Here is a 25,340-nt window from a genome sequence, read left to right as displayed (position 1 = left end):
GATATAATATTAGGAATATATTCTATAATGGAATAAGATATAATGTATCCCTATTCTGTCTTTGAGTCTGAGTAGAACTTTCCTTAATGATCCCACTCAGCAACACCACTTTCAAATATACTATTTAATCTTCACAGCCATAGAGATCATTCTCATAAAGCATTTTCAATGGATCTGTTGAAAATAAACAGATAATGTTTTTGGTGCCAGGCTACACTTTTATTATCTCATTTAATCTCCTTTAAAATATTTTTAAAGTTTCATTCTAGCTTCATCAATGGGTATAACTTATACGATGGCAGAATTAACCCCAATGTTATGAACCATTTCTAACAGTGAGAGACTTCCTACAATTGAGAGAGTAAGATCTCTGTAACCAGATATATAATTAAGTAGAGGCTGAATGATCATCTTTCAAATATTAAGTTGTGACAAGAATCCTACAGGAAGTAGAAAATTACACATCATATATGATTTGTTATAATGTAAACTCTGAGCTCTAGAGTTGCTTAAAGAAATATACAGAACAGAGGTGGGTGAAATGGGATAAACTGTTATCCTTTACTTAAGTCTCAAATTAAAGCCTGTCATTTTTCAAGACTAACTTACTATCCTGATGGAGAATATATCTGTTTTTCTTTAAAATGTGTCTGTGTACTACTGAGAGGCACCACGGATATGACAAAGAACCCAATTCGAATCTATCTGTGGGATCCACAACTACTGTCTGAGCTCCTCTAATATACTGAGCTCCTCTAATAACATGTGAAACAGTTAAACTATTAAACACAAAAACTGAAATACTTACTGATTTTTTTTTCACTGAAGCAGTAGCCTACCAATATAAGCAGGCTTTGAAATGGTGTGATAATTTTTGGATTCTGAATAAGATCTAATATAAATATATAATACTATTCTTTCATTTTGTCGTATTCATTTGGGTTATCAAGTAAATAAGAAACCAAAATGTTAATGCTATTCAGAAATATTAGAAGCTGATACAAATTCCAAAAAGTAAGACAAATTGTCACATAAAAAGAGGCATATGATTAGAGATGATGGTGACTATAATGAAAATTCATCAGTCTCAGGGCCAAAAGAGAAAATAAGACAATATGAAGATACTGGATTCCTAACATTTAATATTTACAAGAAATTTTTCACATAATACTTTTCAATGTTCCTCTTAACTAGTGTCAGTGAAGTAATTATCATTTTAACTAGTATCAATTAAACTTAATTTTCAGGAAAACATTCCCACACAGCATAAGTTCTTTGAGTTTATAAACAATATCTTTCATAGTTCACCTAAATCTGGTAAATCGCTTTGTAGCCTCACTAGGTTTAATAAATGTTATATAAATAAATACTTTGTTCTGATCTCTTCCACACATTTCTAGTTTTAATATGAAAAAAGGTAAAGCAAGATACTCTCTTTTTTAAATTAAATTCCTTTAACTGGAAGTGTAAGAAATGTATGGAGGTGACTTTTCTCTATTAGAGGATCATACAGAATAGACTTGCAAATAATACGACACTTAAAGAACCATACATTTTCAAAACATGCAGAGCACAAGTTTTGTTTAATTGATTTTACATCACACCAGAAAGCATTACAGGGACACTGGCGAATAGAAGTAAGCTGGAACCTCATCACAGAGCTCCTTTCTTACCCTCAGCAACAAAAAGGCTTGATCTTAGAAGTTCAAAATTGTTCCATATGGTAAAGACACATTCTGAAAATAAATCAACAAGTAATTATAATTTTTTTATTTAATTCAACTTCTAATATACACACATACAAACCTTTCTGAAATGTTCAGTCTTGTGCATGTGTTGATGTTGAGGCGTATCTTCCACTAATTGAAAGGCATTTTTCAAAATATTATCTAGAGCTCTTTTCAAAAATCAATGATCTTTCAATCCTAAAATATTCTTTTTAGCTGAACATTGACAATGACTCCCTCCGTGTTCAAACTTTAGCTAGGCTTCTCTACGCCCTCTTCTCAACTAGGCCTCATCCTTGGCCTGCCTTAAGCAAAAATCCTACTAAGTCAGTTTAGCGAGAATCTCTCATGCTTGATATCTAACCAAGTTTCTCACCCCTCGCCGTTAATGTCTAAGTCCTTAATCTGCCTCTAAGAAGAATCTTGTTAGGCCGGTTAAGCAAGAATCCCTCTACACTTGATATCTCCTCTTAACAATTTTCCATCTGCTGACCCCTTCACTCTGCTCTTTGTCTATAAATTCTTAGCTTTCCTTGCTGTACTTGGAGTTGAATCTCCCTCTTCTATTGCAATGGTCTTTAATAAAGTCTTCCTTACCATGTTTATCAAGTGTCAAAAATTTTTCTTTAGCATTATGAGACTGGCTCTTATGGACTTTGTCCTTGTGATGGAGTATATGCTAGAGGTTAAACTCATTGTCTGTAGAGTCCAATCATCTAGTTACCCACCCTTTATCTGTTGCTTATGAGCTTTATGTCCTTAAGCAAGTTAGATGAACTTGTGTCGTGATCCTCGATGATGAATGTGTGCTCTGAACTGATAGACTTAACTATGAGAAGATGAGATCTCACAGGCGAGATTGTATCCACACATACATTTTACCACTGTGACCTCTGCCCAAACTGAAGGGTTTGAGAATTCTGTGCTCTTTGCAAGCAAAGTATGCCTGTAATTGTGGGGTGTGGGGGGCGGGTAAAGAAATGTTGACCATGAGCACCCAGCCTGTAAGCTTACCATCTGCAATTTGGGTACATGACTGGCTGGCTAGGAAGGTGATAAAAGGGTTAGGAAAAGACAGCAATCAAAAGGCCTTTTCTGAGTTTGAATCTGTGAATTCAGAGACTTCAGTCTTTGTCTCAGTGAAACTCTGAGTGGGAGTTCCTGCCTTTAGATTTAAACAATGATAAATGAAAGTTTCAGGCTTCATGCACCAAGATCTCACTCAGTTAAAAGTTATGAGTTCCCTGAATTTTAGTGATCAACACCACTTATTCCTTGGCCCAATGGCTCAATAATTTTGTTGAAAATTCATATCCTATATCCTTTAAGTTATAATTAATGCCCACAACCTATTAAAATTTAATTTTATTTGCCACCCCAGTGCTCATTGACATAGATAAGAACACAACACACTGAGAACCATTTTTAAAATCAGAAGTAGGCAGTTGCCCCTGCATCATAACAATAACTCTATAATCAACTGGTACCTAGGAACTCCCCAGTGAACATACCTTTTGTCTCTGCACCTGGAATCATGGCCCCTGTGCAAAATGTTAGCCACCAACTTATGAAGGGAGAAAAGAAGTTCCTCAAACCCTCCCCAAAAGTAATCACATGTTCTTCTTGAAAAAGAAAATGGGATTTTTGCCTCTAAAAAAGTACTGTGGCATCAAATGGTAACACTATCTTACTAGTCACTTCTGTTGATATCTGATCTCCTGAATGTTTAGGACACTAACAATTTGATTTAAATTACAGATAGTGTAGCCTTAACCAAAACAGTTGGTATTGGTACAAAAACAGACACATAGACCAATGGAACAGAATAGAGAGCTCAGAACTAAGACCACACATCTACAGCCATCTGATCTTCAACAAACCTGACAAAAACAAGCAATAGGGAAAGGATGCCCTGTCTAATAAATGGTGCTGTGATAACTGGCTAGCCATATGCAGAAGCTGGACTCCTTCCTTGCACCTTATACAAAAATTAACTCAAGATGGATTAAAGACTTAGATGTAAAACCCAAAACTATACAAATCCTAGAAGAAAATCTAGGTAATACCATTCAGGATATAGGCATGGGCAAAGATTTCATGATGAAAATGTCAAAAGCAATTGCAACAAAAGAAAAATTGACAAATGGGATCTAATTAAACTAAGGAGCTTCTGCACAGCAAAAGAAACTATTATCAGAGTGAACGGACAACCTACAGAATGGGAGAAAATTTTTGCCATCTATCCATCTGACAAAGGTCTAACATAAAGAATCTACAAGGAACTTAAACAAATTTAAAGAAAAAACCCCATTAAAAAGCAGGCAAAAGACATGAACAGACACTTCTCGAAAGAAGACATTTATGTGGCCAAGAAACACATGAAGAAAAGCTCCACATCACTAATCATTAGAGAAATGCAAATCAAAGCCACAATGAGATACCATCTCACACCAGTCAGAATGGCGATTATTAAAAAGTCAAGAAACAACAGATGCTGGCGATGCTATGGAGAAATAGGAACACTTTTACACTGCTGGTGGGAGTGTAAACTAGTTCAACCATTGTGGAAGACAGTGTGGCCATTCCTCAAAGATCTAGAACCAGAAATACCATTTGACCCAGCAATCCCATTACTGGGTATATACCCAAAGGAATGTAAATCATTCTATTATAAATATATATGCAAATGTATGTTCATTTCAGCATTATTTATAATAGCAAAGACATGGAATCAACCCAAATGCCCATCAGTGGTAGACTGGATAAAGAAAATGTACATATACACCATGGAATACTATGTAGCCATAAAAAGGAATGAGATCATGTCGTTTGCAGGGACATGGTTGGAGCTGGAAGTCATTATACTCAGCAAACTAATGCAGGAACAGAAAACCAATCACCACAGGTTCTCACTTATAAGTGAGAGCTGAACAATGAGAATGCATGGACACAGGGAGGGGAACAACACACAGTGGGGCCTATTGTGGGTTGGGGGAGGGAGAGCATCAGGAAAAATAGCTAATGCATGCGAGGCTTAATACCTAGGTATTAAGGTATTTTCCTCATTCCAAAATCTGTTAATGTACCTTCTACAGCAGTCCTTGCTGAGCCTCCATTCGGTCAAGAGGAACTCAAAGGAGACAATTGTTTGATGTTTGTGTGTTTGGTTGGTTGATTCATTGTTTGGGGTTTGGAAGTGTCTGCACTGGGGCCATGCACTGAGCCACCCCCAAGCCCTTCCTTAAGGCTGTAGGTCTAAGAACATGCACATCGCCCCGAGCAACGACCTCCAGCAGAAGAAAGCAAATGCTGTTTTACTTCAAATCATGGATGCTGCTATCATATAATCTTTGCTAAGCTGCGAAACATGTTTATTTAGCAGATACTGTATGGAATTTTCTGAACACCTCTTTAACGTATGAGGAAACTTGTCCTGCTATGGATGCAATTCAGTTCTTCCTTTTTTATTACTCTTTCAAACATATATATTTATATTAAACTTAGATGATAATCAAAATTTTTTTAAAAAAGGATAAGGATGAAGATAAGGTTGATGGGTGCAGCAAACCACGATGGCACACGTTTAACTATGTAACAAACCTGTACATCCTACACATGTATCTCAGAACTTAAATAAAAAAAAAATTAGAGATAGTGACAAGTAAAGAATGGTGTACTAGAAGGCCCCTTGCCAATTTGAATGGCCTGAACAGCATGAATGGCCCCATACATTTTATGAATAAAATATTATTCTTCCACTGCTTTCTTTCTGGACAGCATTTGTTGATGAATATCCTAATTTATATACCAAAACAGACTTCCCATTTATATTTGGCTTCAGCAGTTCAGATTTGTCTTTAGCAGCACCATCATTAGATCAATCAAAAGAAAAACACATTCAAAAGACTAGAGAAATACTCCCTGTTGTCATTCAGTTTATTTAAAGCATTCATATGATCTCCAGCAAGTTGTCAGCTATTGAGTTTCTCACAATAGAACCAAAGGAATTTTTGAATTTCCAGGGTTCACTGAGTATTCATTCTTAGATCTGACTACCTCATAATCTGGGAGTAGCCTTACCTTTGATGGCAGCCAAAGTCTTTCAAAGACCCTAGACCCTATTCACATTTGCCCTGATTCTGGCCTAATTTGAGCTAATTAGAGTCATTGGTTAAAACTGGCATCCCCTGCTCAATATTAAGGGTTATCCTGCTATCCTGAAAAAGTATTACATTTTACCCCAAAGCTCAGTTGAAAGACTATTCCTGGTCCTACTTCTCCAAGGAGCTATTTTTAGTTGAACCAGTCTAATGACTGGTTCATATTCAAGCAGAAATATTTTCTGTATATCCCTCTGAATAGCTCACTGCCTTCCCAGGTCCTGGTGGCTATTGGATCATTGGTAATTCTGGAGTTGCACAGTTCAATATGGGAGCCACAAGCCACATAGGATTATTCATGTTTAAACTAATCAAATGTATGTAAAATTAAAAATCTAGATTCCCAGTCACACTACCCACATATAAAGAGCCCAAGAGCCACATATGAGTCATACCTCCCATACTGTAGGGCACAGGTGTGGAATATTTTTATATCACAAAACATTCTACTGAAAAGTGCTGAGGAGTCATAATTGCCATGAAAAAGATGGTCTAGGAGGAGGACCATTTAAATGAAGCCAAGATAGCTTGAATCTATTAACTGGGTCTCCTCTGCCAGTAGCTACAGGACCTGGATTAAAAAAAAAAAAATCAACTGCAACCATTTGCATATGGGCTTGGGCATTAGTTTATTTCCCTTGTATCCTCTTCAAACAATAAGCTCCATGGTTCTCAACTCTGGCTGCGTATTAGAATCACACAGAGAATCTGGTTTAATTGGTCTGGGGATGCAAGGCAGAAAACTGGTAGGCTTTAAAAGCCCCAGGTGAGTTCTATTTTGTATTTAGGCTTGAAAAGTACTGATTTAGAAAATGCATTACCTCATTTAATCAAATAAGTATTCTATAAAGGCAGAGCTTCAGTGAAAATAAAACTTCCTCCATGTTTTATAGAAAAGCCTGCTGAATCCCAGACTTAACTAATGGGAATTAAGATAGAGCTGGCATTGTTATCCAGGTAGTTCATAGGGGCAAACTGAGAAGCTGGATTGGATCTAGTTTAGATAACCCTAACAATCACCACCCATTGCAGGTAGTCTTCCATACTACACTAAAACTATAAAAATAATTATAGAAAGAAACATAAAATCCACTTTATTCACAACCCAATTATCGGCAACTTGCAATAACAATTCTGCTATTCATTTCTGCATATATTCTCTCCAAAACCCTCACCAGAGTTATTAATATAGTTCACATTTATGTTACCTTTGGGATCTTTCACAGTTTTAGAGAATAATTGATCACTAGGGAATAATTTCTCCATTTATTTTCTCTTGACAGTTTCATTATGCTGAATTCATGAGTTTTTCTAACCATATAAATTGTTCATTTTTCATTACTATATAAAATGTAAATAATATCTTTACAATGGGAGATTATAAAGGATGGAAACTATTTCAGTCATTTTATTTCACTTTATTTTGTTTGAGTAGAAATCCAATTTTCTTTATTATTTTTTGGCAGAAACATAACTCCAGAATATTTAGATTAATATTACTGCTCATTCCTCTGATTCTTGCTGGGGAAAAATAGGAAAATTTAAGGCATAAAAGAATATTCTGCAAGTCTAAATATTTATGTCAGTGATAACCCAGATTGGGTTTAGGACAATTTTATAGCCAATAATATTTATGCTCTTCAGGGGACAGTAAAAACGCAGTTACAAATACTATTTCAGTGTTATAAAACATTTGATTGGTAAGAATCACATCTTTAAAATTATTAGCAGTTGTATTTTGTGCCATTACAAATTCTACAGAGTATGCTTAACACATATCAGGTTATTGTCATATATTTTTTACATCTTTTCCTTTTTCTAAGTTGGTTATGCATTGTTCAAAAAATTAATATTTTGAATAGGGTGAATATTTTTATTATTTGTGATTTAAAAGATAATTGCATAACTTCTTTAAAATTGAAAAGAAAAGTAATAAAGTAATTTGAAACTTTCAAACTCACCACTGCCTGGTCAGGCCTTCTGTGATCTGGGCCTACCCTGTTGATCCACTGTATTTCCAGCTGTTTTTCAATAAGCACCATCCACACGAGTCAGTATTATTTTCAAAAGGCTTCTATACTTGCAATTTCCTTTCCTGCATTTCTGAATTTGTCATGTTGCTTATCTTGCTCAGAATTTCCTTCATTCTCAAAAGTATGGGTGTGGTACAGATTTTCGGGCAGCAGCATGTAACACTTTAAAGAAAAGTTATGTGTTAATTGAAAAAAAGTTTAATTTTACTCCAGTTGATATAATTTTTATTGTATATGATATCATGGAAAACAGAATGTATGAATAATATAAACAATGAAAATGGAAAATAGTATATAAATCTACCTACCTATTGTTTTTATAGAATGATGCTGTGACATTCTCAACTTAGAGGAGTATAAATATAGATAATGGTTCTCCAACTTTAGCTAGCAACAGAATCGCTCAGACAACTTACTAAAACAGATTTCTGGACCTGAACCCAGAGCTTCTGATTCAGTAGTTCTGGGGTTGCGGCCTAAGAAACTGCATTTCTTAGAAGTTCCCAGGCGATGCCCATGCTGCTAGCCCAGAGACCACACTTTAAGAAGTCTTAATGGAGACATTCAAAAAGTTCCAGTTCACTGGAATTTTGTATTTTGGCATACAAAAAAAATGTATATACTTAATATGCCTATGGTTCTTCAAAAAATCAGTCAGTTTTAAATGAGAGGCCAATTTGTAAACCACAACAAAATTAACTTAGTATCATGGAGGAAATAACAGCAAGTCCATTTTAGGCAGAAGACTCATCTTTAAGCTAATGGAAACTAAGATGGAGTCATAAAATATCTCTTGATTTCAATAATCTTTGTTGCAACATTGTTTGTTACATAGAAAAAACGGGAAACAACCAAAGGGCCTATTTAACAGAGGCTCATAAGCTATGATAGATCTAAATATAAAGGACTTAAAAATAATTTGATTGATTTGGATGTGCTGATACGGAAAGACTTTCAAGATATGATACAAGGCTACAGTAACCAAAACAGCATGGTACTGGTACAAAAACAGACACACCGACCAATGAAACAGAACAGAGGGCCCAGAAATAAGGCTGCACATCTACAACCATCTGATCTTTGACAAACCTGACAAAAACAAGCAATAGGGAAAAGACTCCCTGTTCAATAAATGGTGCTGGGATAACTGGCTAGCCATATGCAGAAGATTGAAACTGGACCCCTTCCTTAAACCTTATACAAAAATTAACTCAAGATGGATTAAAGACTTAAATGTAAAATCCCAAAGTATAAAAACCCTGGAAGACAACCTAGGCAATGCCATTCTGGACATAGGATCAGGCAAAGATTTCATGACGAAGATGCCAAAAGCATGGTACTGGTATAAAAGTAAATACATAGACTAATGGAACAGAATAGAGAACCCAAAAATAAAGCCAAATACTTCAGCCAAATGATCTTTGATGAAACATACAAAAACATAAATTGGGAAAATGACATCCAATTCATTAAATGATGCTGGGAAAATTTGATAGCCACATGTAGAGAATGAAACTGGATCCCTATCTCTCACAATGTACAAAAATTGACTCAAGATGAATTAAAGACTTAAATCTAAGACCTGAAACCATAAAAATTCTAGAAGAAAACCTACATAAAATTCTTCTGGGCATTGGCCTAGGCAAAGAATTTATGACTAAGACCCCAAAAGCAATGATGAGTGGATAAAGAAAATGTGGTGAGTATATATATGTGTGTATATATGTGTGTGTGTGTGTGTGTGTGTGTGTGTGTAGATATGTTGGTGTGTGTGTATATATATAAAAGTTTTATTTATATATGCACATACATATGTGTGTATGTGTGTGTGTGTATGTATATATATATATACATACACACATGCATGGAATACTACTCAGCCATAAAAAGTAATGAAATAATGTCTTTTGCAGCAACTTGGATGGAACTGGAGGCCATTATTCTAAGTGAAGTAATTCGAATCGGAAACCAAATACCACATGTTCTCACTTATAAGTGGCAGCTAAGCTATGTGCACACAAAGGCATACAGAGTGGTATAATGGACACTGGAGGCTCAGAAGGGGAGAGGATGACAGGTGGGTGAGGGATGAAAAACTACCTATTGGGTATAATGCACACAACTCAGGTGATGGGTGCACTAAAATCCTAGATTTCACCACCATACAATTCAGCCAGGGGACAAAAGACCACTTGTACCCCCACAAAGCTATTGAAGTAAAAAAAGAGTTTAGTTGCAGAAAAGATGTGTGATTTCTTTTAATAAATAATAATAAATATACATTTTATATTAAATTATATACACATTTATGTTAATATATTTATATATCTTTATAATTGAATATAATTATATATGTACATATAAAAATATATATATATGACTTTCAGCATAGGATGCATATTACTCTAAACAGGTTTTCTCTTTATGTTATACAAAATGCTTGAGACTAGTTACTTTTTGAGACAGGATTTGGTGAAGGAAAAGTGATTTTAATTATTAATTGTATACTTTTCTATATCATTTGCATTTTAACCATATATATATGCATTATTTCTCATTTTAAAATATCAATAATTCATACCTGCTACAATGACTATCATAAGACAGACAGACAATAACAAATGATGGCAAGGACATAGATAAATGAGAACATTCACACAGTGCTGGTGGGATGGTAAAATGGTACAGCCACTTTAAAAAGTAGTGTGGCAGCTTCCTAAAAATTAAACATAAATTTCCTACACAACCCGGCAATTCCACTAATAGGTATATATCCAAGATAAATGAAAATATATATCCACAAAAAGAATGTCACATGAATGTTCATAGCAGCATCATTCAAAATAGTCTAAAAGTGAAAACAATCCAAATGTCCACCAACTGGTGAGCGGATAAACAAAATGTGGTACAGACTATTCCATTAAAAGAAAAGAATAAGGAATGGAACAAAGCTGGACAGAGAATGACTTTGACGAGTTGAGAGAAGAAGGCTTCAGACGATCAAACTACTGCAAGCTAAAGGAGGAAGTTCGAACCCACGGCAAAGAAGTTAAAAACCTTGAAAAAAAATTAGATGAATGGCTAACTAGAATAACCAATGCAGAGAAGTCCTTAAAGGACCTGATGGAGCTGAAAACCATGGCACGAGAACTATGTGATGAATGCACAAGCCTCAGTAGCCAATTCGATCAACTGGAAGAAAGGGTATCAATGATGGAAGATCAAATGAATAAAAAGAAGCGAGAAGAGTTTAGAGAAAAAAGAATAAAAAGAAATGAACAAAGACTCCAAGAAATATGGGACTATGTGAAAAGACCAAATCTATGTCTGATTGGTGTACCTGAAAGTGACAGGGAGAATGGAACCAAGTTGGAAAACACTCAGCAGGATATTATCCAGGAGAACTTCCCTAATCTAGCAAGGCAGGCCAACATTCAAATTCAGGAAATACAGAGAAAGCCAAAAAGATACTCCTCGAGAAGAGCAAATCCAAGACACATAATTGTCAGATTCACCAAAGTTGAAATGAAGGAAAAAATGTTAAGGGCAGCCAGAGAGAAACACCGGTTACCCACAAAGGGAAGCCCATCAGACTAACAGCCGATCTCTCAGCAGAAACTCTATAAGCCAGAAGAGAGTGGGGGCCAATATTCAACATTCTTAAAGAGAAGAATTTTCAACTCAGAATTTCATATCCAGCCAAACTAAGCTTCATAAGTGAAGGAGAAATAAAATCCTTTACAGACAAGCAAATGCTGAGAGATTTTGTCACCACCAGGCCTGCCCTAAAAGAGCTCCTGAAGGAAGCACTAAACATGGAAAGGAACAACCGGTACCAGCCACTGCAAAAACATGCCAAATTGTAAAGACCATCGATGCTAGGAAGAAACTGCATCAACTAACGAGCAAAATAACCAGCTAACATCATAATGACAGGATCAAATTCACACATAACAATATTAACCTTAAATGTAAATAGGCAAAATGCTCCAATTAAAAGACACAGACTGGCAAATTGGATAAAGAGTCAAGACCCATCAGTGTGCTGTATTCAGGAAACCCATCTCACGTGCAGAGACACACATAGGCTCAAAATAAAGGGATGGAGGAAGATCTACGAAGCAAATGGAAAACAAAAAAAGGCAGGGGTTGCAATCCTAGTCTCTGATAAACCAACAAAGATCAAAAGAGACAAAGAAGGCCATTACATAATGGTAAAGGGATCAATTCAACAGGAAGCAAGTCCTTAGAGACCTAAAAAGAGACTTAGACTCCCACACAATAACAATGGGAGACTTTAACACCCCACTGTCAACATTAGACAGATCAACGAGACAGAAAGTTAACAAGGATATCCAGGTCTTCAACTCAGCTCTGCACCAAGCGGAACTAATAGACATCTACAGAACTCTCCACCCCAAATCAACAGAATATACAATCTTTCCAGCACCACACCACACCACACCTATTCCAAAATTGACCACATATTTGGAAGTAAAGCACTCCTCAGCTAATGTAAAAGCACAGAAATTATAACAAACTGTCTCTCAGACCACAGTGCAATCAAACTAGAACTCAGGATTAAGGAACTCACTCAAAACCGCTCAAGGACATGGAAACTGAACAACCTGCTCCTGAATGACTACTGGGTACATAATGAAATGAAGGCAGAAATAAAGATGTTCTTTGAAACCAATGAGAACAAAGACACAACATACCAGAATCTCTGGGACATATTCAAAGCAGTGTGTAGAGGGAAATTTATAGCACTAAATGCCCACAAGAGAAAGCAGGAAAGATCTAAAATGGACACCCTAACATCACAATTAAAAGAACGAGAGAAGCAAGAGCAAACACATTCAAAAGCTAGCAGAAGGCAAGAAACAACTAAGATCAGAGCAGAATTGAAGGAAATAGAGACACAAAAAACCCTTCAAAAAATCAATGAATCCAGGAGCTGGTTTTTTGAAATGATCAACAAAATTGACAGACCGCTAGCAAGACTAATAAAGAAGAAAAAAGAGAAGAATCAAATAGACGCAATAAAAAATGATAAAGGGGATATCACCACTGATCCCACAGAAATACAAACTACCATCAGAGAATACTATAAACACCTCTACGCAAATAAACTAGAAAATCTAGAAGAAATGGATAAATTCCTCAACACATACATCCTCCCAAGACTAAACCAGGAAGAAGTTGAATCTCTGAATAGACCAATAACAGGCTCTGAAATTGAGGCAATAATTAATAGCTTACCAACCAAAAAAAGTCCAGGACCCGATGGATTCACAGCCGAATTCTACCAGAGGTACAAGGAGGAACTGGTACCATTCCTTCTGAAACTACTCCAATCAATAGAAAAAGAGAGAATCCTCCGTAACTCATTTTATGAGGCCAGCATCATCCTGATACCAAAGCCTGGCAGAGACACAACAAAACAAAAAAAGAGAATTTTAGACCAATATCCCTGATGAACATTCATGCAAAAATCCTCAATAAAATACTGGCAAACCGAATCCAGCAGCACATCAAAAAGCTTATCCACCATGATCAAGTGGGCTTCATCCCTGGGATGCAAGGCTGGTTCAACATACGCAAATCAGTAAATGTAATCCAGCATATAAACAGAACAAAAGACAAAAACCATATGATAATCTCAATAGATGCGGAAAAAGCCTTTGACAAAATTCAACAACTCGTCATGCTAAAAACTCAATAAATTAGGTATTGATGGGATGTATCTCAAAATAATCAGAGCTATCTATGACAAACCCACAGCCAATATCATACTGAATGGGCAAAAACTGGAAGCATTCCCTTTGAAAACTGGCACAAGACAGGGATGCCCTCTCTCATCACTCCTATTCAACATAGTGTTGGAAGTTCTGGCCAGGGCAATCAGGCAGGAGAAGGAAATAAAGGGTATTCAATTAGGAAAAGAGGAAGTCAAATTGTCCGTGTTTGGAGATGACATGATTGTATATCTAGAAAACCCCATCATCTCAGCCCAAAATCTCCTTAAGCTGATAGGCAACTTCAGTAAAGTCTCAGGATACAAAATCAATGTGCAAAAATCATAAGCATTCTTATACACCAATAACAGACAAACAGAGCCAAATCATGAGTGAACTCCCATTCACAATTGCTTCAAAGAGAATAAAATACCTAGGAATCCAACTTATAAGGGATGTGAAGGACCTCTTCAAGGAGAACTACAAACCACTGCTCAGTGAAATAAAAGAGGACACAAACAAATGGAAGAACATTCCATGCTCATGGGTAGGAAGAATCAATAGAATCGTGAAAATGGCCATACTGCCCAAGGTAATTTACAGATTCAATGCCATCCCCATTAAGCTACCAATGACTTTCTTCACAGAATTGGAAAAAACTACTTTAAAGTTCATATGGCACCAAAAAAGAGCCCGCATTGCCAAGTCAATCCTAAGCCAAAAGAACAAAGCTGGAGGCATCACGCTACCTGACTTCCAACTATACTACAAGGCTACAGTAAGCAAAGAGCATGGTACTGGTACCAAAACAGAGATATAGACCAATGGAACAGAACAGAGCCCTCAGAAATAATGCTACATATCTACAACCATCTGATCTTTGACAAACCTGACAAAAACAAGAAATGGGGAAAGGATTCCCTATTTAATAAATGGTGCTGGGAAATGGGGAAACGATTCCCTATTTAATAAATGGTGCTGGCTAGCTATATGTAGAAAGCTGAAACTGGATCCCTTCCTTACACCTTATACAAAAATTAATTCAAGATGGATTAAAGACCTAAATGTTAGACCTAAACCCATAAAAACCCTAGAAGGAAACCTAGGCAATACCATTCAGGACATAGACATGGGCAAGGACTTCATGTCTAAAACACCAAAAGCAATGGCAACAAAAGCCAAAATTGACAAATAGGATCCGATTAAACGAAAGAGCTTCTGCACAGAAAAGAAACTACCATCAGAGTGAACAGGCAACCTACAAAATGGGAGAAAATTTTTGCAATCTACTCATGTGACAAAGGGCTAATATCCAGAATCTACAATGAACTCAAACAAATTTACAAGAAAAAAACAACCCCATCAAAAAGTGGGTGAAGGATATGAACAGACACTTCTCAAAAGAAGACATTTATGCAGCCAACAGACACATGAAAAAATGCTCATTATCACTGGCCATCAGAGAAATGCAAGTCAAAACCACAATGAGATACCATCTCACACCAGTTAGAATGGCGATCATTGAAAAGTCAGGAAACAACAGGTGCTGGAGAGGATGTGGAGAAATAAGAACACTTTTACACTGCTGGTGGGAGTGTAAACTAGTTCAACCATTGTGGAAGTCAGTGTGGCAATTCCTCAGGGATCTAGAACTAGAAATACCATTTGACCCAGCAATCCCATTACTGGGTATATACCCAAAGGATTATAAATCATGCTGCTATAAAGACACATGCACGCGTATGTTTATTGTGGCACTATTCACAATAGCAAAGACTTTGAACCAACCCAAATGTCCAACAATGATAGACTGGATTAAGAAAATGTGGCACATATACACCATGGAATACTATGCAGCCATAAAAAAGAATGAATTCATGTCCTTTGTAGGGACATGGATGAAGCTGGAAACCATCATTCTCAGCAAAGTATCGGAAGGACAAAAAACCAAACACCACATGTTCTCACTCATAGGTGGGAATTGAACAGTGAGAACACGTGGACACAGGAAGGGGAACATCACACGCCAGGGCCTTTTGTGGGGTGGGGGGAGGGGGGATGGATAGCATTAGGAGATATACCTAATGTTAAATGATGAGTTAATGGGTGCAGCACACCAACATGGCACATGGATACATATGTAACTAACCTGCACGTTGTGCACATGTACCTTAGAACTTAAAGTATTAAAAAAAAAGAATAATGTGCTGATAAATGCTAAAACATAGATGAATCTTGAAAACACTACACTACAACTTCTTGTCTGGCACATAAAGAGCTTGGAAGTCATCTCTTCCATTCACATAGTAAGAAAAAAGCTGACCAAACTTAGATCCATATGAGAATTGAGGTCACAGAGCAAACCAGTGCCCCTAAAACTAAAGAAACAGATGAGTAGATACAGAGGAAAATGGCACAGCCTCTGTGGTAAACAGTATGGTGAGTTCTCAAAAAATTAACAATAGAATTACCACATGATCCAGTAATTCCACTTTCATTTATATACCCAAAAGAGTAGAACAGGAACAAATATTTGTACACCCGTTTTTATAGCAGCATTTGTCAAAATAGCCAAAAGGTAGAGGAAGCCCAAGTGTCAGCTGATGGATGAATAATTAAGCAAAATGTGGTATATACATACAATGTAATATGATTCAGTTAAATAAAGGAAGGAAATTCCAACACATACTACAACATGGATGAATCTTGAAGACATTATGCTAAGTGAAATAAGCCAGCCACAAAGAAATAAATAGGTATGATTACACCCACATAAGGTACTTATAGTAGCTAAATTTATAGAGACAAAAAGTAGAATGATGGTTGCCAGGAACTGGGGGTAGGAGATAAGGAATTAATGTTTAATGGGGAGAGTTTCAGTTTTGCAAGATAAAAAACGTTCTGGAGGTAGATGGTAGTGATAGTTGCATAGCAGTGTGAATGTATTTAATGCGACTAAACTGTACACTTAAAAATGGTTAAAATGGCAAACTTTATGTAATGTATGTTTACTAAAATTTTTAAAATAATTTTAAAAATAAACAATATAAACAGTTTTATCTTTAATGAGAATTATTTCTATTTAGTAACAATAGACTTACTATTATTTCTATTTTAATTTCTTCTGTGAATTGCCTACTTATATTCTTTGCCCATTTTCCCGTTAGTTGCCTTTTTTGTTTCATAGAAGCTTTTTGTATAATAGGGTTTTAAAAATCTTTTGATTTTTCTATCAATTCAAGTTTACAGAGAAACTGAAAGAATTCTAGAAGGGATTCCAATCCCTTCTAGAATTTATTCAGTTTTATTCTGTCCTTTTTGCTTTATAATGTTCTCTATGTTCATATGTAGATGTATGTGTTATAAACATTATGTACATATATTTATAAACATGATAAATATTTAATACATAAACTATTATTTTTTCTGAACTATAGAGGGGTAACTTGGAAACATAATGTCTCTTTACCCGTAAAACTTTAGTATTTCTTAAGAAATGATAATATATCATCACAACACAATTACCAAAAATAGGAAATTTAACATTGACTCAACTTACCATCTAATTCATAACCCATATTCAAGTTGCATTTGTCATAATAATGTCCTTTATAGATTTTTTTGGACTAAGATTGAATCTAGGACCATGCACTAAATTTGTGGGTTTTTTTAGTCTCTCTTAATCTGGAATAGTTAATTTATATTTCTTTTTGTGTCTTGACCTACATATTTTTAACACCAGTCTGTAGAATATTTTTCAATTTGGTTTTATCTGAAGTTTTCTCATGGTTACTTTCAGGTTATACATCTTCGGGAGGAGTATCCCAGATGTAATGTTGTGTCCTTCTCAATGGGTTATATTTTTTCAAAATATTGTGATGGCAATTTTGATCATTAGATTGTAATGGTGTCTATTATGTTTCTCTACTGTAAAGTACTTTTTTTACTTTTATAAGTAATAGGTAATTTGGGGCAGATACTTAGTTCCCATAAACTCACCCATTAATTTTTTTAAAAATCTATTGCAATTTTCTAACATGATCATTCTTTTTACCTTTATCAGCTGCCATTCTATTGAAAGAAATAGCTTTTCCTTTTTCCTCCCTCTGCTTCCTTCTCCCTTTTTCTCTCCTTTCCTCACCACCACCTCCTTTTCTTCCTTCTTTTAATTTCATATGAGCAGAGCTCATAGATTTTATTTTGTTCAACTATTTATAATCCATTGGTACTATTAATTACTTCGATGGCTAATCTCTTTAATCTCCTTTTATCTACATTTTCACAGCCTGTTTTGTCTTTTTTAATAAATTGTTCACATTAAAAAAACAGAGTACCCTCAACTATTTTTAAATTGATTTGTTCATTTTCTCAAATAATTAAGTTTTAAGAACACTTTGTATATATTGAATAACAGTTCTTTATCAGATATGTCTTTTGTAAAGATCTTCTCTGTGGCTTATTCTCTTTTAATGTTTTTACAGAGCAGACATTTTTCATTTTAATGAAGTCTAGCTTATCATTTATTTCTTTCATGATTGTGCCTTTGGTGTCATATCTAAACAGTCATTGACACACCCAAGGACACCTAGATTTGTCATCTAGAAGTTGTATGATTTTGCATTTTCTATTTATGTCAGCCATTGAATAATTCTCTTTTTAAAGAATCCCTGATTCATTTTAATGGAGAATAATATTTAGAAATGTAGATTTGGGTGCTAGGTGTGCTCATTCCTATCGATGTGTCATTGCTTTTAGGTTCTCTGAGCAGGAACAGCTAAAGGATGTGTGTGTTTGTATAAACCTGTGGGTTCATGCAGATATTTTCAACTCTAATTCAATATACTACAGGGTTAATCTACTCATTCCTCTCTCCATATTTAAACTTACCTTTTCCAATAATGGGAAAACATGGTGGCTGTTACCCTTAATGTGTTTGCTTGTTTGCTTGAACTTAAAATGCACAAAAAGGATCACCAAGCCATACAGTGATGAAAACCAAACATATGACTAGAGCTCAATATTTATTTGTAGTTCTCATTCTGGGAGTTGAATTTACATGGAGGAATGAATCTTAGTTATTATAACAGGTGAGTTTTGACAATGCCTACAGCTGTGTAACCCACAATTTGATTATGTAACAGAACATTGCCATCACTCTAAGAACGTTTCCTCATACTCCTTTCTAATCAAGTTCTATTAGTACACACTCCTTATAGTAAAAAACTGCTAAACAATTTTTCAAAGTAGTTGTACCATTTTACACCCTTACCAGCAATAAGAGTTACTGCACATTCTCATCAACATTTGGTATTGTCACTTTATAACTTTAGCCATTCTCGTGTGTGTGTGTGTGTGTGTGTGTGTGTGTATAATAGGAGTACCTCACTGTGGCTTTAACTTGCTATTCACTGATGACTAATGGTGAATACTGTTTACATGCATTTTCATCATTTGTGTGTCCTTTGTATACCTTCTTTTTGTGTATCTGCTTTTAGAAAAAATATACTCAATTTTTGAGTGTCATTTTAATATTAACATAAAAGTTCTTTACATATTCTGCAGAGAAGTCTATTATAAGCTATATGTATTATAAACACTTTTTCTCCATTCATAGCGTGCTTGTTTGCTTAATGCTGTCTTTTTATGTGTGAAGTTTTTAATTTTGATCAAGTCTAATTATCGAGCTTACTTTAATGGTTACTAATTTATTTCCCATCAGTAAGGTCGCAAACTTATTCTCCTATGTGTGCTTTAAGGTGCTTTATACTTTGGGATTTAAGATTTAGGTACATGATTCATCTTGATTTCTGTGCATGATTTGAGATAGAATTCAAGGTTTATTTGGTGGTTACACACAAAGCTGTGGAAGTCGTGCTGTATGTGAACTACTCTGCCGTTACTGCAAGTGCATTCCCTTCTTTACTTCTCTTTTGATATCATTTTTTACCTCTTTTCCCATTGACATCTATAAGAATGAGTAGTCTGACATGTTTTTCTTTTAAGTTTTAAGCTTCAGGATTTCCTATGTTTCTTTCTATCATTACGGTTAAACATATTTTCCTAATTATTCTTCTAATTTAAATTGTATTTTTTGGCCTTAACTCTTTAATCCAGAGTTTTGTATATATTGTACAACAGGAGTTCAGTTTCTTTTCATTTTAGTTCTTGAACACTTCATCTTTAATCTTTAGAATTTATTTATTAAATATAAATGTATTTAGCTATGAAAATTTCTGATTTTAATTGCATTATGTAATATATATGTGTGTGTATATATATATAAATATACTTTGGAATTTGATATTTTAATATAGTAAATGATATTGCTGTGTCTCAATACTTTTTTCAGGTCTTGTTATAAGTAGCCGACAATTATAATTACAATTTTTTTTGAAAAAGGCATTGTCCCTTCTTGTTATATTTCTTTCTAAATATTTTATAATTTTTACGGTTTTGAAAAAGGATTTGAATTTCTCCACATCCTTACCAACAGTTGTTATTCTCTTTCTTTCTCTCCTCTCCCCAACCCTCTCCTTTTTTCTTCTAATAATGGCCATCCTAATGACTATGAAGTGGTATCTCATTGTAGTTTTGATTTGCATTTCCCTAAGGATTACTGATGCCATTTTTGTGTCTTCTTCAGAGAAACGTCTGTTTAGATTTTTTGCCCATTTTAAAATCAAGTTATTTGTTTTTGTGCTGTTGAGTTGTAAGTATTCCTTATAAAATTAGGATATTAGCCCCTTATCAGTTATACGGTTTGCAAATTTTTTTTTTTTTTTTACCAGTCAGTAGGTTGCCTTTTCATTTTGTTAATTGTTTTCTTTGCAGTGTGGGAGGTTTTTTCTTGACACAGCCTTATTTATTTATTTATTTATTTATTTTGTTTTTTAGCCTGAGCTTTTGGTATAATATACAAAAAAATCCCTGCCAAAGTCAGCATCAAAGATCTTTTCTCCTATGTTCTCTTCTAGGAGTTTTATAGTTTCAGGTCTTACATGTAGGTCTCCTATCCATTTTGAGTTGATTTTTGTGTATGGTGTAAGATAAAAGTTCAATTATATTTTTTGCATATAGAAATCCAGTTTTCCCAGCACCATTTATTGAAGAGACTATTCTTTCCCCATTGCATACACCTGGAGTCCTGGAGTCCTTGTCAAAAATTAATTGATCATTGGGCCTGGTGTGGTGGGAGTTCAAGACCAGCCTTGGCAATGTAGCAAGATCCTGTCTCTACAAAAAATTAAAAAAATAGCTGAATGTGGTGGTGTGCACCTGTAGTCTTAGCAATTTGAAAGGCTGGGGCAGGAGGATTGTTTGAACCCAGGAGTTAAAGGTGACAGTGAGCTATGATCATGCCACTGCATTCTAGCCCAAGTGACAAAGTAGGTCTCTGTCTCAACAACAAAAAAATAGTCTACCATAAACATTTGGATTTCTGGTTTCTCTGTTCCATTGGTCTGTGTTTCTGTTTTTGTGCCATTACCATATGAGTTTGATTACTATAGCTTTGAAATATAATTTTAAATCAGGACATGTGATGCCTCCAATTGTTTTTACCTTTTATCTGTAACTGCTTTGTCTATTCATGGTTTTTTTTGTGGTTTCATACAAATTTTAGGATTGTTTTCTATTTATGTGAATAATACCATTGGAATTTTGATTGGTATTTTGTTAAGTCTGTATTATTGCTTTGAGTACTATGAACATAACAATGTTAATTATTCCCATCCATGAACACTGAATATTTTGCCATTTATTTGTGACTTCTTCAATTTCTTCCATCAATGTTTTCTAGTTGTCAGTGTGCAAATCTTTCACCTCCTTGGTTAAATTAATGCTTAGCTTTTTTATGCTATCATAAATGAAATTATTTCTTTTAAAGTTTCTTTTTCAGTTAGGTCATTATTTGTTTATAGAAATGTATCTGATTTTTGTATGTTGATTTTGTATCCTGCAAAGTTAGCACTTAAGTAATGTAGTCTTTAGGGTTTCCTATATATAAGATCATGTTGTCTTCAAACAGAGTATTTTTCTTTCTGATTTGGTTGCAATCCAAATTTGTTTGATTGTCCTTGATAGTACTTCTAGTACTGTGTTGAACAAATAGAACTGGTGAGAGTGGACATCCCTGCCTTGTAGCTGATCTTAGTGGAGAAGTTTTAAGGTGTTCTCTGTTGATTATGATGTTAGCTGTGGGTTTTTTTTTTATTATTATACCTTAAGTTCTGGGGTACATGTGCAGAACGTGCAGGTTTGTTACATAGGTATACATGTGGTTTGCTGCACCCATCAACCCATCATCTACATTAGGTATTTGTCCTAATGCTATCCCTCCCCTAGCCCCCCAACCCCCGACAAGCCCCAGTGTGTGATGTTCCCCTCCCTGTGTCCATGTGTTCTCACTGTTCAACTCCCACTTATAAGTGAGAACATGCAGTGTTTGGTTTTCTGTTCTTGTGTTAGTTTGCTGTGAATGATGGTTTCCAGCATCATCCATGTCCCTGCAAAGGACGTGAACTCATTCTTTTTTATGGCTGCATAGTATGCCATGGTGTATATGTGCCACATTTTCTTCATCCAGTCTATCACTGATGGGCATTTGGGTTGGTTCCAAGTCTTTGCTATTGTAAATAGTGCTGCAATAAACATACATGTGCATGTGTCTTTATAGCAGAATGATTTATAATCCTTGGGGTATATATCCAGTAGTGGGATTGCTGGGTCAAATGGTATTTATAGTTCTAGATTCTTGAGGAATCACCACAGTGTCTTCCACAATGTTTGAACTAATTTACAGTCCCACCAGCAGTGTAAAAGTGTTCCTGTTTCTCCACATCCCCTCCAGCATCTGTTGTTTCCTGACTTTTTAATGATCGCCATTCTAACTGGCATGAGATGTTATCTCATTGTGGTTTTGATTTGCATTTCTCTAATGACCAGTGATGATGATCTTTTTTTCATATGTTTGTTGGCTGCATAAACATCTTATTTTGAGAAGTGTCTGTTCATCTCCTTTGCCTACTTTTTGATGGGATTTTTTTTTCTTGTAAATTTGTTTAAGTTCTTGGTAGATTCTGGATGTTAGCCCTTTGTCAGATGGATAGATTGCAAAAATTTTCTCCCATTCTGTAGGTTGCCTGTTCACTATGATGATAGTTTCTTTTGCTGTGCAGAAGCTCTAGTTTAATTAGATCTCATTTGTCAATTTTGGCTTTTATTGCAATTGCTTTTGGTGTTTTAGTCATGAAGTCTTTACCCATGCCTATGTCCTGAATGGTATTGCCTAGGTTTTCTTCTAGGGTTTTTATGGTTTTAGGTCTTACGTTTAAGTCTTTAATCCATCTTTAGTTAATTTTTATATAAGGTGTAAGGGAGGGGTCCAGTTTCAGTTTTCTGCATATGACTAGCCAGTTTTCCCAACACCATTTATTAAATAGGGAATCCTTTCCCCATTGCTTGTTTTTGTCAGGTTCGTCAAAAATCAGATGGTTCTACATGTGTGGCATTATTTCTGAGGCCTTTGTTCTGTTCCATTGGTCTATATATCTGTTTTGGTACCAGTACCATGCTGTTTTGGTTACTGTGGCCTTGTAGTATAGTTTGAAGTCAGGTAGCATGATGCCTTCAGCTTTCTTTTTTTTTTTTTTTTTTTGCTTATGATTGTCTTGGCTATGCAGGCTCTTTTTTGGTTCCAAATGAAATTTAAAGTAGTTTTTTACAATTCTGTGAAGAAAGTCAATGGTAGCTTGATTGGGACAGCATTGAACCTATAAATTACTTTGGGCAGTATGGCCATTTTCACGATATTGATTCTTCCTATCCATGACCATGGAATGTTTTTCCATTTATTTATGTTCTCTCTTATTTCCTTGAGCAGTGGTTTGTAGTTCTCCTTGAAGAGGTCCTTCACATCCCTTGTAAGTTGGATTCCTAGGTATTTGATTCTCTTTGTAGCAATTGTGAATGGGAGTTCACTCATGATTTGGCTCTCTGTTTGTTATTGGTGTATAGGAATGCTTGTGATTTTTGCACATTGCTTTTTTATCCTGAGACTTTGCTGAAGTTGCTTATCAGCTTAAGGAGATTTGGGGCCTAGATGATGGGGTTTTCTAAATATACAATCATGTCATCTGCAAACAGAGACAATTTGACTTCCTCTTTTCCTAAGTGAATACGCTTTATTTCTTTCTCTTGCCTGATTGCCCTGGCCAGAACTTCCAACACTATGTTGAATAGGAGTGGTGAGAGAGGGCATCCTTGTCTTGTGCCGGTTTTAAAAGGGAATGCTTCCAGTTTTTGCCCATTCAGTGTGATACTGGCTGTAGCTTTGTCATAAATAGCTCTTATTATTTTGACATACATTCCATCAATGCCTAGTTTATTAAGAGTTTTTAGCATGAAGGGCTGTTAAATTTTGTCAAAGGCCTTTTCGGCATCTATTGAAATAATCATGTGGCTTTTGTCATTGGTTCTGTTTGTGTGATGGATTATGTTTATTCATTTGTGTATGCTGAACCAGCCTTGCATCCCAGGGATGAAGCCGGCTTAATCGTGGTGGATAAGCTTTTTGATGCGCTGCTGGATTCGGTTTGCCAGTATTTTATCGAGGATTTTTACATCGATGTTCATCAGTGATATTGGCCTGAAATTTTCTTTTTTTCTATTGTCTCTGCCAGGTTTTGGTATCAGGATGATGCTGGCCTCATAAAATAAGTTAGGGAGGATTCTCTCTTTTTCTATTGTTTGGAATAGTTTCAGAAGGAATGGTACCAGCTCCTCTTCGTACCTCTGGTAGAATTTGGCTGTGAATCCGTCTGGTCCTGGACTTTTTTTGGTTAATAGGCTATTAATTGCTGCCTCAATTTCAGAACTTGTTATTGGCCTATTCAGGGATTCGACCTCTTCCTGGTTTAGTCTTGGGAGGGTGTATGTGTACAGGAATTTATCCATTTCTTCTAGATTTTCTAGTTAATTTGCGTAGAGGCGTTTATAGTATTCTCTGATGGTAGTTTGTATTTCTGTGGGATCGGTGGTGATATTCCCTTTATCATTTTTTATTGCATCTATTTGATTCTTCTCTTTTCTTTTTTATTAGTCTGGCTAGTGGCCTATTTATTTTGTTGATCTTTTCAAGAAAACCAACTCTGGATTCACTGATTTTTTGAAGGGTTTTTTGTGTCTCTCCTTCAGTTCTGCTCTGATCTTAGTTATTTCTTGTCTTCTGCTAGCTTTTGGATTTGTTCGCTCTTGCTTCTCTAGTTCTTTTAATTGTGATGTTAGTGTGTCGATTTTAGATCTTCTCTGCCTTCTCTTGTGGGCATTTAGTGCTATAAATTTCCTTCTACACACTGCTTTAAATGTGTCCCAGAGGTTCTGATATGCTCTGTCTTTGTTCTCATTGGTTTCAAAGAACATCTTTATCTCTGCCTTCATTTCGTTATTTACCCAGTAGTCATTCAGGAGCAGGTTGTTCAGTTTCCATGTAGTTGTGTGGTTTTGAGTGAGTTTCTTAATCCTGAGTTCTAATTTGATTGCACTGTGGTCTGAGAGACTATTTGTTATGATTTCCCTTATTCTGCATTTGCTAAGGAGTGCTTTACTTCCAATTAAGTGGTCAGTTTTAGAATAAGTGCATTGTGGTGCTGAGAAAAGTGTATGTTTTGTTGATTTGGGGTGGAG

General features: G+C 35.5%; 1 protein-coding gene across 39 annotated transcripts in view; it reads right to left on the bottom strand.

Moving 5' to 3' along the window:
• Positions 1-1,564: 1,564 nt before the first annotated feature.
• Positions 1,565-25,340, bottom strand: part of CCDC7 (coiled-coil domain containing 7) — a 439,541-nt gene continuing 415,765 nt past the window's right edge. For 38 of the 39 annotated variants that reach the window (XM_047425743.1, XM_047425742.1, NM_001321115.2 and 35 more), the window contains 2 exons: positions 7,849-8,082; positions 1,565-1,736 (listed from right to left, as the gene is read on the bottom strand). In XM_047425743.1, the coding sequence (XP_047281699.1) occupies positions 8,036-8,082 (47 nt within the window). In that variant the 3' untranslated portion in view covers positions 1,565-1,736; positions 7,849-8,035. Of the gene's footprint in view, positions 1,737-7,848; positions 8,083-13,304; positions 13,345-25,340 lie in introns of those variants that run through there. The other variant, XM_011519664.1, reaches the window with a different exon arrangement.

The sequence above is a fragment of the Homo sapiens genome, chromosome 10, assembly GCF_000001405.40.
Source record: "Homo sapiens chromosome 10, GRCh38.p14 Primary Assembly".
NCBI lineage: Eukaryota > Metazoa > Chordata > Mammalia > Primates > Hominidae > Homo > Homo sapiens.
This window is presented reverse-complemented; position numbering and strand designations above follow the sequence as displayed.